The sequence below is a fragment of the Homo sapiens genome, chromosome 1 (genome assembly GCF_000001405.40).
Source record: "Homo sapiens chromosome 1, GRCh38.p14 Primary Assembly".
NCBI lineage: Eukaryota > Metazoa > Chordata > Mammalia > Primates > Hominidae > Homo > Homo sapiens.
The window spans coordinates 178,768,099-178,786,535 of record NC_000001.11 but is presented as its reverse complement, the minus strand read 5'-3'; the positions used below and the strand labels follow the sequence as shown (position 1 = coordinate 178,786,535).

General features: G+C 37.7%; 1 protein-coding gene across 8 annotated transcripts in view; it reads right to left on the bottom strand.

The window, feature by feature from the left end:
* Positions 1 to 18,437, bottom strand: part of RALGPS2 (Ral GEF with PH domain and SH3 binding motif 2) — a 196,597-nt gene that overhangs the window by 135,305 nt on the left and 42,855 nt on the right. For all 8 annotated transcript variants that reach the window (NR_174383.1, NR_174384.1, XM_047423755.1 and 5 more), the window contains 3 exons: positions 9,715 to 9,854; positions 2,014 to 2,118; positions 929 to 979 (listed from right to left, as the gene is read on the bottom strand). Coding sequence is in view for 6 of the 8 variants with exons in the window: in XM_047423755.1 (XP_047279711.1) it covers positions 929 to 979; positions 2,014 to 2,118; positions 9,715 to 9,771 (213 nt within the window). In the remaining 2 variants the exon portion in view is untranslated. The remainder of the gene's footprint in view (positions 1 to 928; positions 980 to 2,013; positions 2,119 to 9,714; positions 9,855 to 18,437) is intronic.

Sequence of the window (18,437 nt, the reverse complement as noted above, 5' to 3'; positions counted from 1 at the left end):
TAGGAACACTATACACACACACACCCCCATGCTTATAGTGGATAGATGCATAACGCCAGTCCCTTTGTTTTCATTAGAAACAAATGATGTGTTTCTTGATCCTTTCTCTCCTCTCCAAAATGTCAACGCAGTCATATTATTAAGTCATAAAATAAAGATATAAGGGAAAAGATTACTAGAGTTAGTGGTGAAACCCAGTTTCAAATTTCCATCTTCCCATTAAAAAGCTTCAAAGCAATAGGTAAATCATTCAACTTCCCTAAGTCTATTTCCTCCAGTAAGTAATGCAGCCAAATCAATCAAAATGATTCAAATACAGCTGACCTGTAAACAACACATGGGTCTACTTATACACGGATTTTCTTCCACCTCTACCACCCTTGAGATAGCAGAACAAATCTCCCTTCTTCCTCAGTCTACTCGATGTGAGGCTAATGAGGATAAAGACCTTTATGATGATCCGCTTCCCCTGAATGAATAGTAAATATTGTTTCTCTTCCTTATGATTTTCTTAGTAACATTTTTTCTCTAGTTTATTGTAAGAACCGAGTACAAAATACATATAACATACAAAATATGTGTTAGTTGATTGTTTATGTTACCAGTAAGGCTTTTGGTCAACATCAGGCTATTTGAAGTTAAGTTTGCAGGGAATCAAAAGTTATAGAAAGAGTTTTCACTGAGCAAGTGTCAATGCTCCTAACCTCCGCTTTGTTCAGATGTCAAGTATAGTCCTATCTATGACTCAATAATGTATTGCTATGAATGCCACGTGGGTTTCTGAGGCCCAAACAGTATGTAGATAAGTTACAACACAAGCTTCAAACATTTTAAAATTAATATGAAGTATAATTTGACATTTCTAAAACACTTAATTTGAGATTGATCGTTTTCTATATTTAAAAGGAACATTCTCAAAACTACTTACATCTGGTTGAATAGCTTTAAATACTGGAACATCCATTAATGTTATCTGACCCTGAAATATAAAGTAAAAATGACAATTTCTTCTTTGGAATTCTATACCATAACATGTAACCTAAATTAAAATTATATTCTATACTAAAATATTACCAAATACTCAATTTTATAAGGGCTTATGGAAAACAAAATTTAGCCCCTGTACCATTAAATAGAATTATTTCTAATGATCTCATGTCTATTTATATTTTCTTGGAAGATAAATTGTGTAAAGTTAAAAAATAAAAATAATTTTAAAAATTTGGACAGTCACATTAAATTATAATCAAAAAATAAAAACCAGATTTATTAGTTCACATAGCAGTGTTCTTGTTATGATGATTACAGCTCCTCAAACAGTGGTATAAAATCAGATATTACTAAAAAGGTTTTCTTCCTAACTTATAAAAAAATAATGAAACTACACTAAAGCCAACATTATATCTAAGAGCTTTATATGCTATGGACCTATCCCACTTATGGCTATAGATATAAGACAAAAGTCAACACTATCAAGGAATAATATGCTATGACCAAGCACAGTTTATCTCTGGAATGCAGGAATGGTTTAACATTAGGAAATCAATATATTCTGTTAACAAATTAAAGGAGAATGAGAAAACAAATAAATTTATATTAAGAAATAAATGTTTTTCTAGATACCTTTCATCTAATAACACCTTCATATTTCATTTTTCAATTTTTTAATTAAAAAAACCAGTGAAAATGTTTCTTAGATATGTCAACAAAATACAGTTGGCTTAGAGAAATGGTATAGAGGGATGACAGCAATTACCATAATGGTAAATACATATTGCTACTTACCAAATTGAAGTGTAACTTATAAAGTTGCCCTAAAAAAAAATGTACAGCTTTTCTTACTTTTCCCACTTCATCCCTCTGTTTGCTCCACAGCTGTACTATTTTCCCCAATAATTCCCATATCCAGGTTTCTAAAAGCTGTCTCTTTTGCTGGACCTACAAATTCTAACTCAATAGCACCAATATGTAAATTATGTGCAAAACCGGAGAAGACAGAGGTAGGAGGCTTACCGCATATTCTTCTGGTGTAACCTTAAGAACATCGAATACCACAGCATCAAAGCTTTTCTTCAATTCAGAGCCTTTGTCACTTAAGGATTCAGAGCTGCTACTTTTCTGTTAAAGTGAAAGAAAATGCAGCCTTTTACATACTGTCTCACAATCAAGTGATAGAAACTAGATTGGCCTTAAAAACTGAGAAAACAAAACAGTAGGTTAACAAATGCTGCAGAAAAGCTGAGCACAACATGCTGCTTAGTTGTTAGAGTACCAGATAAAGGGTCAGACAACTTGAAATCTAAAACTGTGACTTTAAATTTTTAGGTTCTTGAATGAGTCATTTTCTTGTGTGTCAGTTTCCTCATCCTGACAACCTATCATTTCCTATAGAAATAAATGATTTTAACTAGTTCAATGATTCTCAAATAAGGTAAAGGGAAGTCAGGGGAGAAGGCTATACACTTACTTACAATTTTTTAAACTAATTTTTATTAAGAAAAAGACAAACTAGCTTTATAACAAGTTATCAGAAAATATTCAGAATGCTGTTAATTAAAGAGTTACATATAATCCATTCTTAGTTATGTGATCTGTTTGTGATAGTACAATTAATACTATTCTTCCTATTATATTACAAATTTAAGTTTTCCCTGCTTAAAAATTACTGTTTCAAGTTTGAATATGTTGTGGCTATACATAGAATGAAAGGTGGATTTTGGCCCTGAAAATCTTATTACTGTTAAAAATTTTCCACTTCGTCTGTGCCATGACATAATAATATATTCTGTATCAGCTGGCTAAATTCAGAGGAACATCAATATGAGAATATTTAGATCAGGCTCTATTAAATGGTGGTAGGATATGAGGCTACAGATAACAGCAAAAAAATTAATCAAAGTTTCAATTAGCACAGTACACACAGATCAACCCACCAGCTATTATGTATTAGTTTTAAGCACTTGTCATTATGCCTCATTTTTGCTTTTCCTCCCTTTTAGTAGCAGCTAAATACGAAGTATCGAGCCACGATCATTACAAAGAAAGGGATCTGTCCTTAACTTTAAAAAATTCTCAACTATTATTACTTCAAATATTTCTTCTGCTTCTTTCTCTTGTCTTTCTGGTGTTCCCATTATGCATATGCTACACCTTTTGTCACTGTCCTACAGTCCTGGGCTATTCTGGATTTTTTTTTTCATTCTATTTTCTCTTTGCATTTCAGTTTGGGAAGTTTTACTGACAAGTCTTCCAGTTCACTGATTCTTTCCTTGGCTGTCTATTGGTCACCAGTCTACTGGTACTGGTTAGCTCACCAAAGGCATTCTTCGTTTTTGTCACAGTGCTTTTGAATCCTAGCATTTCTTTTCAATTCTTAATAGTTTTAATATCCCTGCCTATATTATCCATTTGTTCTCGCATGCTGTACGCTTTTTTTCATTAGAGACTTTGGCATATTAATGACAGTTAATTTTAACTCCCAGTCTGATAATTGTGAAATCTCTGCCTCATGAGTGTGGTTCTGTTGCTTGATGTATCTCTTCAAATTGTGTTTTTTCCTTGCCTTTTAGCATGGCTTGTAATTTTTTGTTGAAAGCTAGAAATGGTATATTGGGTAATAGGAACTCAGGTTGAATAGGCCTTTACTGTAAGGGTTTATTTTTATCATGCTAGGCATTATGCTGTGCTTATAATTTGGTGTTGTTATAGGTGTCTGAGTCTTCAATTTCCTCTAGTATCATTTTTTTATCCTCTGTTGTCTTTGGTTTTCCCTAGAAATCTCTTCTTACAGTCTGAGCCTTGCAGTTCTTTCAGCTGAAATCTTAGTATTATACAGGAGCCCTGCTGATGTGGTGGGGGAAGGCAGGGTGTGTGTGTGTATTTGAGGGGTTGCTGGGGGGGAGTGCCCTATAGTCCTAAGATTAGGTTTCAGTCTTTCACTGAGTGTGTCCCCAGGCTATGACCTTCACAAATGCTTCTCTGTCCCCCTGGCTCTGCTTAGGTGAGACAGGAAGTCTAGAGGGGCTTCAAGTTGAGGATTTTTCCTCTCCCAAGTAGGTTAGGCTCTGGTGAAGTAGTTTCCCTTGAGGGCAGGTGGAGAACAGAATGCTCTGGGCATATTTCAATATGGTTACTTTCTATCTGGGTGTATTTCAAAATGGCTGCTTCTTTCCTCCTCCTGCTAGAAGCAGAAGTGAATTTTTCTCTGTCTTTACTGTGAAAAACTGGTGGGCATCCTAGAGGTAATAAAAATCACAAAAGCAGAGGGTGAGAAGAATCTAAGACTGGACACCCAAGGAGTTTTTAACTTTCAAGCTAGTCCACACACTGTCTCCAGCAGTTCATCAATTAGGGTTTACGTGGCTCCACTGACTTCTGCTCCCGTAAGCTGTGATTCTCTATTTGCCTCTCTCTCCAGGTTTCAGGGCATCACTGTTAAATGTGCTCTGTTATAGCAATTCTCTGATAAAGCTAAGAGGAGTTATTGATTTTCAGTTTGTTTAGCTTTTTTCCTATTGTGAGGACAGGAGTGATGAATTCTAAGCTCTTTACAAATCTGAGCAGAAACCTGAATTCCAGTGAATGAATCCAAGCAGAAACCTCAAGTCTCATAAACAAAATGGAGTTTTATTTCTTGTGTTTAATCTCTGTAACTATGACTAGTTTATAGTATGTCAACAATATTATTTTACATCCCAAAACTAATAAAACATTTTTTTCATAATGTTAAGTATTCAAATAGACATCAGTTAAACAGTATACACTAATCCAATAGCTGTCCAAATAACCAGATGCATTCTGTCAGGTGAACACATGAATCATAAACATAAATCAGTAATTTTCTCCAAGTTTTTAACTCATCCAAGTTAGTAAACCATCATGACAATTTTATTGCTTATCAAAAAGAATAAACACTTCTCTTTTTTCCTTCTTAATGGCCATTAGAGGCTTAAAAATTACTAGTGTGCATTTTGACATGCTTCCCTAATACCAGTAATAAATTGGTAATGATAAGACACTAAGCAATAATGTTCACCAGGAGAATAGCAATAATTCATTCAAGGCATGACTCAAAAACTTCTAAATGTCTTCTAAATGTCTGAAAACAAGTTCACTGTAATTCTCCTACTGACGGAAACTTCAAACACGAGTTAAATATAAAAGGATAAAGTATTTTATCCATTCTGTAAGCTTATCACTTCTATAAGAAATTTGTACTTTGATGTTACTAGACCTATAATTTGAGAGAAGGTGGAAAATACAGATTTTTAATTTTATTTTCTTGCCACAATAAATGGACAATTTAAAGGGCAGACTTTTTTCACTCTTACTTTATAACTGCTAATTATACTACTCTGAAGCCTGATGTAATTAATTCACTTTTGGTAAAGTCAACAGAATTGTTTGTACAAGTGAAATGATCTATTTTATTTAACAAATATTTGTATTCTGCTTCCTATGATACTAGAACAGGTATTTCTGGATATATAGTTAAAAATATACACATACATATATATATATATAACATATTCAAGAAATATGGTTATAAATATACAAAGAAAACAAACATATATTACAAACATATATATAAACATAATCTTATGGTTGTAAATATAAAAAAGCTATGCATACATTTACGGAGAAAATTACAGAAAGAGATTTTTCTAAGTGACAGTTTTAAAAATAGGAAAGCTCCCATCTGTTTAAGGGATTAGGAGAGGCTTTATTAAAAGCATAGCATTTGAAATATGTTTGAAAGACAAAACTTTTTGTGTGTGCAGTGATGGGGAGGGGACACACCAGAATGGGAAGAAAAATTCCAGCTAGAAACATTGGTATAGGCAAAGTTATGACAGAAGAAGGAAAATGTAATAGTTTATACAGACAACAGCAAATGTAGTATTCTCTCATTAGACTGTTAAGTTTCAAGTAGAGGATTAGTAGGGGTTAAATCCAAAAATTTGGGGCCATTTTGAAGAAAGTCTTGAATAAAAGGCTCAGTGGGCATTTAAATTTAATTAGTAGGCAATGAGGAACCACAGACAGTTTTGAGAAAAGATAAAGTTTAAGAGCTGTATTTTAAGAATATTAAACTTAAATTTCAGTTGAAGGATCAGAAACAACAGAAAATATAAGTGCAACACCCAACTAAAAGGTCATGGCACTAATCTAGACAAGAAATAATAAACGACCAAACTAACATGGTAGTACAGTAATAGAAATAAGGAGAAAAGTACTGGATCCCAGAGATAAAGCACAGTGGACAGGCTCTAAGATAGCTGCTAAAGATCTCTATCTCTTGGTATTCTCAACCCTGTGTGATCCTCTCCCCTTGAGTGTGGGCAGAACCTGTGACTTGTTTCTAACCAGCAGAATATGGAAAAGGAGATGAGATGTCACTTCCATGATTACGTTATATAAGATTGTAACTTCTGTCTTGCTAGCAGATTCTCTCTGCTATGATGAGACAATGGTTGTGGTGGGCAAAAATTAACAACACATTGGCCGGATGCAGTGGCTCACATCTATAATCCCAGCAGTTTGGGAGGCCAAGGCAGGTGGATCACCTGATGTCAGGAATTCAAGACCAGCCTGGCCAACAAGGTGAAACCCCATCTCTACTAAAAATACAAAAATTAGCCAGGCGTGGTGGCAAGCACCTGTAATCCCAGCTACTGGGGAGGCTGAGGCAGGAGAATTGCTTGAACCTGGGAGGCAGAGGTTGCAATGGGCCCAGATCGTGCCACTGCACTCCAGCCTGGGCAACAAGAACAAAACTCTGTCTCAAACCCCACCACAAATAAACAACACATCTAAAGATTTAAACTTAGATGGCTATGGAAATGTGATGCTATTAACCTAAGTTAGAGAAAAGGCTTGGACTATTTTCTTTATGGTTGTGGAGCAGAACAGTAATAAGAAACTTGATTTTGTGGACATTAAAATGTCTGGTCCATCAAAAATGCTTAATAAAATTCATGAGGGAAGCCAGGGCTAGAGATAAAAATAAATCATCTACATAACAAAAACAATTGAAACCATAGACTTAGACTATTTTCAGTGATATCAAGGCCTAAGTAACTAGCTGGGGCAAAATGGAGTTGGGGCTATTAAGGAACTTTGAGGTCAAGGTGTTAAAGGGTCATAAACATTATTCTCATCCAATATACTAAGAGAAAAATAAGAAATATAGAAGCCAGATGCTAAAGTTATTAAGGAAAGCAGGCAAGTTCCCTAGATTTATACACAAAGAAAAAAATAAAAAAGTTGGGGCAAAAATACAATCATAATATATTAACTAGAGGGGTGAGCATCTAGTTCAGTCTTCACATCTCCATCTTAAATGCTAAACTACATCAGCAGAGTAAGCCCTTACAACATTCCAGCCTAACGGTTCTTTTGTTTCCTCTAATATATGTGGAATCAAGGGATCTAGATGGGTCCAAAATTTAGTGATTCCAAGTAAAAGAATCTTTCTTTGCCTTACTTGCATTATTGCCCTCAAGGATGATGTAATGTAAAAATACTCTAAAAAGAAATTCTATGTTTCTTTTAAAAATAAAGAGTTTTATGAGTTACCATTATTTGTCATTATTTTTCAAGTATCTTAAGTAGATAAGGATTAAGTATACCTATGATGCACAGGGAACATACGAATCACTAAAATAAAAGTTAAAATATGTGTATTTCTCATTGTTCAATTCCCACCTATGAGTGAGAATATGCGGTGTTTGGTTTTTTGTTCTTGCGATAGTTTACTGAGAATGATGATTTCCAATTTCATCCATGTCCCTACAAAGGACATGAACTCATCATTTTTTATGGCTGCATAGTATTCCATGGTGTATATGTGCCACATTTTCTTAATCCAGTCTATCATTGTTGGACATTTGGGTTGGTTCCAAGTCTTTGCTATTGTGAATAATGCCGCAATAAACATACGTGTGCATGTGTCTTTATAGCAGCATGATTTATAGTCCTTTGGGTATATACCCAGTAATGGGATGGCTGGGTCAAATGGTATTTCTAGTTCTAGATCCCTGAGGAATCGCCACACTGACTTCCACAATGGTTGAACTAGTTTACAGTCCCACCAACAGTGTAAAAGTGTTCCTATTTCTCCACATCCTCTCCAGCACCTGTTGTTTCCTGACTTTTTAATGATTGCCATTCTAACTGGTGTGAGATGGTATCTCATTGTGGTTTTGATTTGCATTTCTCTGATGCCCAGTGATGATGAGCATTTTTTCATGTGTTTTTTGGCTGCATAAATGTCTTCTTTTGAGAAGTGTCTGTTCATGTCCTTCGCCCACTTTTTGATGGGGTTGTTTGTTTTTTTCTTGTAAATTTGTTTGAGTTCATTGTAGATTCTGGATATTAGCACTTTGTCAGATGAGTAGGTTGTGAAAATTTTCTCCCATTTTGTAGGTTGCCTGTTCACTCTGATGGTAGTTTCTTTTGCTGTGCAGAAGCTCTTTAGTTTAATTAGATCCCATTTGTCAATTTTGTCTTTTGTTGCCATTGTTTTTGGTGTTTTAGACATGAAGTCCTTGCCCATGCCTATGTCCTGAATGGTAATGCCTAGGTTTTCTTCTAGGGTTTTTATGGTTTTAGGTCTAACGTTTAAGTCTTTAATCCATCTTGAATTGATTTTTGTATAAGGTGTAAGGAAGGGATCCAGTTTCAGCTTTCTACATATGGCTAGCCAGTTTTCCCAGCACCATTTATTAAATAGGGAATCCTTTCCCCGTTGCTTGTTTTTCTCAGGTTTGTCAAAGATCAGATAGTTGTAGATATGCGGTGTTATTTCCGAGGGCTCTGTTCTGTTCCATTGATCTATATCTCTGTTTTGGTACCAGTACCATGCTGTTTTGGTTACTGTAGCCTTGTAGTATAGTTTGAAGTCAGGTAGTGTGATGCCTCCAGCTTTGTTCTTTTGGCTTAGGATTGCCTTGGCGATGCAGGCTCTTTTTTGGTTCCATATGAACTTTAAAGTAGTTTTTTCCAATTCTGTGAAGAAAGTCATTGGTAGCTTGATGGGGATGGCATTGAATCTGTAAATTACCTTGGGCAGTATGGCCATTTTCACCATATTGATTCTTCCTACCCATGAGCATGGAATGTTCTTCCATTTGTTTGTATCCTCTTTTATTTCCTTGAGCAGTGGTTTGTAGTTCTCCTTGAAGAGGTCCTTCACATCCCTTGTAAGTTGGATTCCTGTGTATTTTATTCTCTTTGAAGCAATTGTGAATGGGAGTTCACTCATGATTTGGCTGTCTGTTTGTCTGTTATTGGTGTATAAGAATGCTTGTGATTTTTGTACATTGATTTTGTATCCTGAGACTTTGCTGAAGTTGCTTATCAGCTTAAGGAGATTTCACATGGACACAGGAAGGGGAATACCACACTCTGGGGATTGTGGTGGGGTGGGGGGAGGGGGGAGGGATAGCATTGGGAGATATACCTAATGCTAGATGACGAGTTAGTGGGTGCAGCGCACCAGCATGGCACACGTATACATATGTAACTAACCCGCACAATGTGCACATGTACCCTAAAACTTAAAGTATAAAAAAAAATAAAATTTAAAAAAAAAGGAAATGTGTATTTCTGCACTAAATGCACTTCTGATTTAAGTATGTGAACAAACATAATGCTTGAAAAATTAGAAAGCCAGGTAAGAAACTTTACACCCAAGCTTCTTAAATATCTTACCTCAGAAGCAGTAGCTGCAATATTGACACTGCTTGCCTGCCCGTTCATTAGGTCCATGCTTTCCTCATCAGTCCCTGACCTTATGTTAACAGCAACAGAGGACTGACTGCCTCATGTCCAAGGCCACAAATACATTATTCCTGTAAAAAAAAAAAAAAGTTAAGCAAATGTCTTCCTCGAAGTTCAAGAAAACAACTCTATGCCTACCACCATGCCAAGAAACAAAAATTTCAACTTCACTAAACTCTATTTATTATCTTAGCTCAGTCGCTAAATCCAAACTGAGGACAATCTTGTATGCTCTTTTCAAACAATCAGAACACCAAATAAACAGTATTCAATAGATGTTATTGTTATGTTCTTCATAAGCAAAGCAAAAGCATAACTTTTCGCTAAGTGGGTATTGCGAGGGAAAAAAATCAAATGTACAACTTTCTTAAAGTAAATAAAATGTGTAAAAACACAGGTGGCAAAGTAACACATACCACAACACAATAAATTTTTAGCGATCCAAATGACACCTGTAAATCAACAATACTGAATAAGCTTATCACAGCTAGTGATCTAGATTACCAACATATCACAAATACTTAAAATATTATGAACTACATGTCATAAAAATACAATCATCTCTCAGTATCCATGGGGGATTTGTTCCAGGATCTACTATAGATACCAAAATCCACCGATGCTTAAGGCCCTTATATAATGGTGCAGTATTTGCATATCACCTATACACATCCTCTTGTATACTTTAAATCATCTCCGGATTACTCATAATACTTAATACAGTGCCAATGCTACGTAAATTGTTGTTATATTGTATTTTTTAGGGAATTATAGCAAGGAAAAGTCTGTACATGTTCAGTACAGATGCAACCATCCTTTTTTTTTTTTTTTTGCCCCAAGTATTTTCAACTCAGATTTGTTTGAATCCAGATGTAGAACCCATGGATATGGTGGCTTTACTGTACCATAATATACACTATGTTTATTTGTATAGGACTTTAAAGTTTATTAAATATCTTTAATACATTATGTTGATTTGCACAACTACCAATAACACTAATTAGGGAAGATATACCCACATAACAAACAAACACAGAGCTTCTGAGGACACAGGATGGTAAATAAGGAGCCAAGAACAAGTTTCAAGCCATCAAAATTCTAGTCAAATATTCTTTTCACAACACAGATTTTCCACTTTACTGGAAGTCAGAGTACTTACTTGAAGTTCTAATACCTTTCCATAAATAACCTGTCATATAAACTGAGTAGGTAACTTTACCTCTAGGACAGAATTTCTTCCTCTTTGTAAAATGACAGTGGTAAATGAACTTTAAGATCCCTTTTCAACTTTAAAGATCTATGACGTTTTTCATAAGAGAAATGGTAAGTGTCTATAAATTAGGTACTCTATGCTACATTCACTTTAAAAGCTGAGTTTTAAATGTTAATAATAATTACTTCAATGCTAAGTTTCCTTTCTCTGGAGAAGCAATATAGGATATAGTGATTTAAAAGCACAAATTTTGGAACCACATTACCTCTGTGTAAACCCAGGAAATTTTAACTTTTCTGTACTCAGTTTTCTCATCTATAAAATAGGGATAATAAGTACCTACTTCATAGAGTTGTGGTGAAGCGAAATGAGATAATATACACAAAGCACCTAAAACAGTGTTGGCACATGGTAAATATGCTATTACTATGATGTAATGATGATGCAGATGTTACTATCTGCTTAATTCCCATAAAGCTTAAATTCAACAGAGTCTCTTAAATAAAAAAGAAAAGACAAAACCTTAGAAATACACCTTTGGGAAGCAATTGTTGCTGGGCATTACTAAAAATCCTAATTGCAAACACAATGAATGAGAATGGCTAAGATCTGTTTCCTAGAAGTAGTAAAACATGCTCTTGGTTTTGAAATGCTTAAAAATTATTACTAATGATAGCAGCCTTCAGTCACATCTTGAATTTATCTTAATTTATTCAGATACAGCCTAGGTACCTGCTAAGAGCAGAACATCGTGCTAGGATTTTTAAAACAGAAATATATTCAAAATCATGAAGTTTTAAAACCATTTAACGCACCTACTTAGAAAATCAACGTGAAAATGAATAAACTACAAAACAATTTCCTCCCATCTAAACTATCTTATTCTATAAGCTTCATTATCCTTATAGTATTAAGAATCAACTTATATTTATACTGCTATGCAACAAAACCAGCTGATAATCCAGATTCTCTTTGAACATAGCACTCAGTTTGCAAAATATTTTTCAAATAATTACATTTCATTCCACTTTCTAGGCAACATTAAGTATAACATGAATTTATAAATCAGGGGTGCCCCCTAGTGCTAAGAAAAAGATTTTAATTTAATAGGTAAAGGAGTTATATCTTTAACTTACTTTACATATCAAAATATACAATTTATTACTTTTACTTAAAAAAATGTAATACAGACCAGGAACAATATTAAAATATTTGTAAACTATAAGCATGAAGAATCACATTTTCTCTCCTTTTATTTTTTTTTTTGAGACAGAGTTTTGCTTGTTGCCCAGGCTGGCATGCAATGGCATGATCTCAGCTCACTGCAACCTCCGCCTCCCAGGTTCAAGCAATTCTCCAGCCTCAGCCTCCTGAGTAGCTGGGATTATAGGCACAAGCCACCACACCCAGCTAATTTTGGGTATTTTTAGTAGAGACAGGGTTTCACCATGTTGGTCAGGCTGTAGAGACAGGGTTTCACCATGTTGGCCAGGCTGGTCTCGAACTCTTAACCTCAGGTGATCTGCAGGCCTTGGCCTCCCAAAGTGCTGGGATTACAGGCGTCAGCCACTGCACCTGGCCTTCTCTGCTTTTAAAATAAATTGTCACCCATGTATTTCATGAAAATTAAGGTCACATTAAAATCCATTACATATTTTAAAATATAGCAAAGCATACCTTAAAGAATATAAACTTTTCGTAACTATTTACAAATGTACATGTCAATAGTATTTTTTTTTTTTTTGAGACGGAGTCTTGCTCTGTCGCCCAGGCTGGAGTGCAGTGGCGGGATCTTGGCTCACTGCAAGCTCCATCTCCCGGGTTCACACCATTCTCCTGCCTCAGCCTCCTGAGTAGCTGGGACTACAGGCGCCCGCCACCACGCCCGGCTAATTTTTTGTATTTTTAGTAGAGATGGGGTTTCACCGTGTTAGCCAGGAGTCAATAGTATTTAATAATGTTGAAGTATAACAGAGAGGCTTATACGATATTATAAAAGTACTACAAGTTCTAAAAGACAGAGATACGAGTTTATTCTTTTAGTACGTCCTTCAAAGACCTTTCTATACTTTGCACACAGAAAAGTTCACATTAAATATGCCAAATATATGCTTTAATATTTTATTTACTTTTCTTTGTGTTATAAATGACAAGATCTTTCAACATGACTCAACATCACAGTAGCCTTTTTTTTAAGAGACAGGGTCTTGCTCTGTCATGCAGGCTGGAGCATGTGGCACAATCTTAGCTCACTGCAGCCTCCAATTCCTGGGGTCAAGCAATCCTCCCACCACCTCAGCTTTCTGAGTAGCTGAGGTGTGCACCACCATGCCCAGCTAACTGTTTACATTTTTTTAGAGACAGGGTATCACTATTACATCATCATCTATAAAATAGCAGACGTTATTTCTCAAAGTGTAAAGAAAAGTTTAAAAATAGGCCAGGTACAGGGGCTCACGCCTGTAATCCTAGCACTTTGGAAAGCTGAGACAGGTGGATTACCTGAGGTCAGGAGTTCGAGACCAGCCGGCCAACATGGTGAAACCCCGTCTCCATTAAAAACACAAAAAATTACCTGGGTGTGGTGGCACGTGCCTGTAATCCCAGCTTCTTGGGAGGCTGAGGTAGGAGAATCGCTTGAACCTGGGAGGCAGAGGTTGCAGTGAGCCGAGATTGCACCACTGTACTCCACCTTGGGAGACAGCGAGACTCCGCCTCAAAAAAATGTTTAAAAATAACAAAGTTACTTCATTCACTTAAGTTAAAATTGTTTTGCCTTCAGTCAATAAAAAGAGATTCTACACCTAAGTCTTCCAAATATAATTTTGTCACATTTGAACTAAACTATGAAAGTATGGGCTGATTCATTTGTAAACTGTCCCACATCTATACAGAAAGGTTATATTTCCATATACCTGAACAGCTTGAAACTAAACAACTTGTAGAAGAGAGACTTTCAAATGATTAAATATTAAAGGGAGAAAAATCTATAAAATAATGCATTTAAAGGTTATGCTTTATCTCCTGTACAGAAAGTTCACTAAGATAATTTGCTAAGTAATCCTAATAGACAAGAGCTGAGATCTCCTAAGATACCTGACCCAAAATACGAATATAGGTTAACTAGAAATTCAGGTAATAGCAAAGAAGTTCCAAATAAAAAGATAAACTGTGCTCTCCAAATATTTTGTGTTTTTGTTTTTGGTGGGTATGAGGTATTTTGGCCAGATGCTCTACTCAGAAGACTACCCCATAAAAGTTCACTTAACTCATTATAGCCTATATTTGCAATAAGACAAACAAGAAAACCAACATCTGGATACAATATTAGCAGTTAAAGCATGAAAACAACCCAAGTGAATCAGAAATAGGTTTAAATATTTGACAAAAGTGTGCTACTGTGGACCTAGGAATGGTCAGAGAAAGGAACATAGCATATTAGTGTGGAACAGCAGAACAGAAAAACAACATGGCAGTGCTGATGGGATAAGACAGACATCAAGATTCCATGCTTGGAGGCTCCTGGGTTTAAGAGATTCCCTAACCCCTAGGGGACAGCCACTAAGGATCTCTTGTACCTGGAATGTGAGGCTAAACTGAACATCACAGAACAATCTATAGGCAAGTGACTGCTACACAATGGAAAACTATGCAGCCATTAAAATACTGTAATACTTAATGACACATGAAAAAAATATTTATAATATACTGCTAAATGAATGAAGCAATTTACCAAACAGTATTTAAGGTATAGTCCTTTTTGGTAATCATTATTATAACATAAAGAAGAGAGATGAACCAACATACACTAAAATGTGGTTATCGCTAGGTTTATGACAATTTTTCCCTAACTTTAGCTTACCTGTATATTTTTAAATTTCCTACAAAGACATTAATTAGAAAAAAGTAAAAAAACAAAAACAGTTTTTCCTCACAGACTGCTTACTAGTTACAAGAAAAAAAAATAAGTAACTATATTGTGTGAAGAACTGGACAATCCCTTAACTGAGTACATCAAAATTATTATCACCAATGGGGAAAAGAGAGACATCATGTGCCTCTGGATGTGATGATACTCCGGGAAGGACACAACATTACTGACAAGAAGTTGAGCTGGGAACCCATAACTGAAATCTAATCTCAAGGACATGGACAAGTCTAATCTGAGAAACATTCGATAAATATATTCTTCAAAAAATGCCAATGTTATGAGAAAGGCTGAAGAACTATTACAATTTAAAGGAAACTCAAGAGATATGGCAACTAAAGGTCCTGTACTGGATGGTAGTAAATGCTTTAAGAGATATTAATGGTAATTCACAAAATTGGAATATAGACTGTAGATTACCATATCAATTTCCTAAATGTGACAATTTCCTGTAGTTATTAATACATAAAGAAGGCTGGGTGCGGTGGCTCACGCCTGTAATCCCAGCACTTTGGGAGGCCGAGGCAGGTGGATCACCTGAGATCAGGAGTTCGAGACCAGCGTGGCCAACATGGTGAAACCCCGTCTCCACTAAAAATACAAAATTTAGCTGGGCGTGGTGGCCGGCGCCTGTAATCCCAGCGACTAGAGAGGCTGAGGCAGGAGAATAGCTTGATCCCGCGACGGGGAGGTTGCAGTGAACCGAGATAGTGCCACTGCACTCCAGCCTGGGCAACAAGAGCAAAACTCCGTCTCAAAAAAAAAAAAAAAAACAACAACAACATAAAAAAACTTTGTTTTTAAGAAACGCAGAAGTACTAAGAGGTAAAAGGGTGGCCAGGCGCGGTGCCTCACGCCTGTAATTCCAACACTTTGGGAGGCTGAAGTGGATGGATCACCTGAGATTAGGAGTTCGAGACCAGCCTGGCCAACATGGTGAAACCCTGTCTCTACTAAAAATACAAAAATTTGCCAGGCCTGGTGGTGGGTGCCTATTGTACCAGCTACTCGGGAGGCTAAGGATGCAGTAAGCCAAGATTGCACCACTGCACTCCAGCCTGGGCGAGAGTGCAAGACTGTCTCAGAAAAAAAAAAAAAAAAAAAGTATGAAGTATGCAAACTAATCTTAAATATTTCAGGAAAACAGTATGTATACGTGTGACAGAGAAAATAAAGTGAATGATAAAGATAATGTGGCATCTTTTTCCCCCCAACATGGTTGATTAGAGGCTTTTAGCATGCATCAGCCACTTGGAAATATCAAGATAGTGCATAAAGATCAACTGTGGGCTGGGCATGGTGGCTCAAGCCTGTAATTCCAGCACTTGGGGAGGCCGAGGTGGGTGGATTGCTTCACTTCTGCTTAGGAGTTCAAGACCAGCCTGGGTGACATGGTAAAATCCTATCTCTAAAAACAAAAACAAAAAATCAGCCAGGCATGGTGGTGTGCACCTGTAGTCCCAGCTACTTAGGACACTGAAGCAGGAGAATCACCTGAGCCTGGGAGGCTGAGGCTGCAGTGAGCCGTGATCATGCCACAGCACTCCAGCCTAGGCAAGAGAGTGAGACCTTGTCTCAAAAAAAAAAAAAAAAGAAGCAATCGACTCTGTAAGCTTTAATTCAGGAAGGAAAACAGAAACCCAGTGGAATCATAAACGACACCCAGAGCCTGGGAAGGAGAACACAGGCTGATAAAAGTGAGTGAGGCCCCAGTATGCAAGAAAGGCAGAGAGCCTCTCTCTGTGACACTTTTTCCCTGGGCATCTGAGCAACCCAGGCCAAGGAATAGAACATTGTTGCTCCTAATCCCTGAAGCTAACTGGGGTGTTGGAACTGTGCTTTCCCCCACTGCAGGCCTTGGATGCGTGGGGAGAGCTGCTACAGCTGCACTTTCTCCCGGACAATGAGACGTGCAGCCAGGGCCAGCTTCATGACCTGAAACCAGTCTATGTATATCACTGCTGGGTACCCCAGCAAGCTCTCCTAAGATCGTGGTGCAGCAGGGCCCTCTCCACTCCACCTCAGGCATAAATCCAGAAATTTGGAGCACCCACTTGCCTGGACCAGCAGCCTGGGCCACCCTACCCTTCATGGACATTGATCATAGTGCAGCAGGGCCCTCTCTGCTTCATACCCAGGCAGATCTCCAGGTATTCAGAGCATCCCTTTCCAAGGATCAGCAGGCTAAACCAACCTACACCCTTTCTATGCATAGATTATGGTGCAGTAGGGCCCTCTCTACTGCACGCTTAGGCAGATCTCCAAGCATTTGGAGCACCTGCTTGCATGGACTAGCAGCCTGAGTCACCCCATCCTTCTTGTGCATGGTGGGTCCTCTCCACTTCATACCCAGGCAGATCTCCAGGCATTCAAAGCACTCACTTGCCTGCTTCAGCAGCCTGACCTGCCCCACCCTTCCTGGGTATATATTGTGGTGCAGCAGGGCCTCTCTGCTCTATGGCCAGGAAGACCTCCAGGCATTCAAAGCACTCATTTGCTGGGATTGGTAGCCTGAACAGCCCCACCTTTCCTGTGCAGAGATCCAGGTGCAGGGGTCCCCATCTCTGCTTCATATCCAGGCAGATCTCCAGGCATTTGGAGCACCTGCTCATCTGGAACAGCAGCCTGAGCCACCCTACCATTCCTGTGCAGAGATCCTGGTGCATGGGTGGCTATCTCTGCTCCATGCCCAGGTCCCAGGCATATCTCCAAGCATCTGGAGCACCCACTCTCCTGGATTATGAGTTTAGGCCACTCCTATCTATGTGTAGAGAACTTGGGGTCAAGGAGGTTTCTCAGTTCCACACCTGGACACACTTCTGGGCGTCTGGTGGCCACCCACTGGATTCTCCTTTGGCCTTGGTTCTTGTGCCTGCCACTGGGGGACCCGTAGGTGGACCTGCTTGGTCCAGCCCTGCCCACCTTCCACCCCTCCCAGCACCTCCCCAGGACTGAGGAGGGAGCACAGACCACTGTTTACTCCACAAATCAGCCCACTGCCTGAGGCAACAGAGAGCATCTCCCAGTAAACAAGGATCAAGTGTACACCCAGCCACTTTGGCCACAGCTAGCTCTTACCCGTAAGCGCCATCTACTGGCTGATAGGTAGAACTGCATATCCCAATTAAAAACCTGCCAACAGAAGTGCTTATGGTTACAGAAGCAAAGTCAAAAGACCCTACCCAGCATTCTCTATAGTCACACCCCCTAGGGAGTGGGGAAAGGGAAGGAGGAAAAAATAATATCACAGAAAAAGAAGGAAAAAATTCTACCTGCACAAAAATAATTACAAAAATTGAAGTGCCAATGTCTCCAGATGAGAAGGAACCAACACAAGGATTCTGCACCATGAAAAATCTGAATACAGTGACACCACCAAAGGATCACACAAGCTCTCCAGCAATGGTCCCTAACCAAAATGGAAACTCAGAAATGACAGAAAAAGAATTCAAAGCACCGACAAAAAGGAAGCTCAACAAGATCCAAGACAAGGTCGAATATCAACACAAAGAA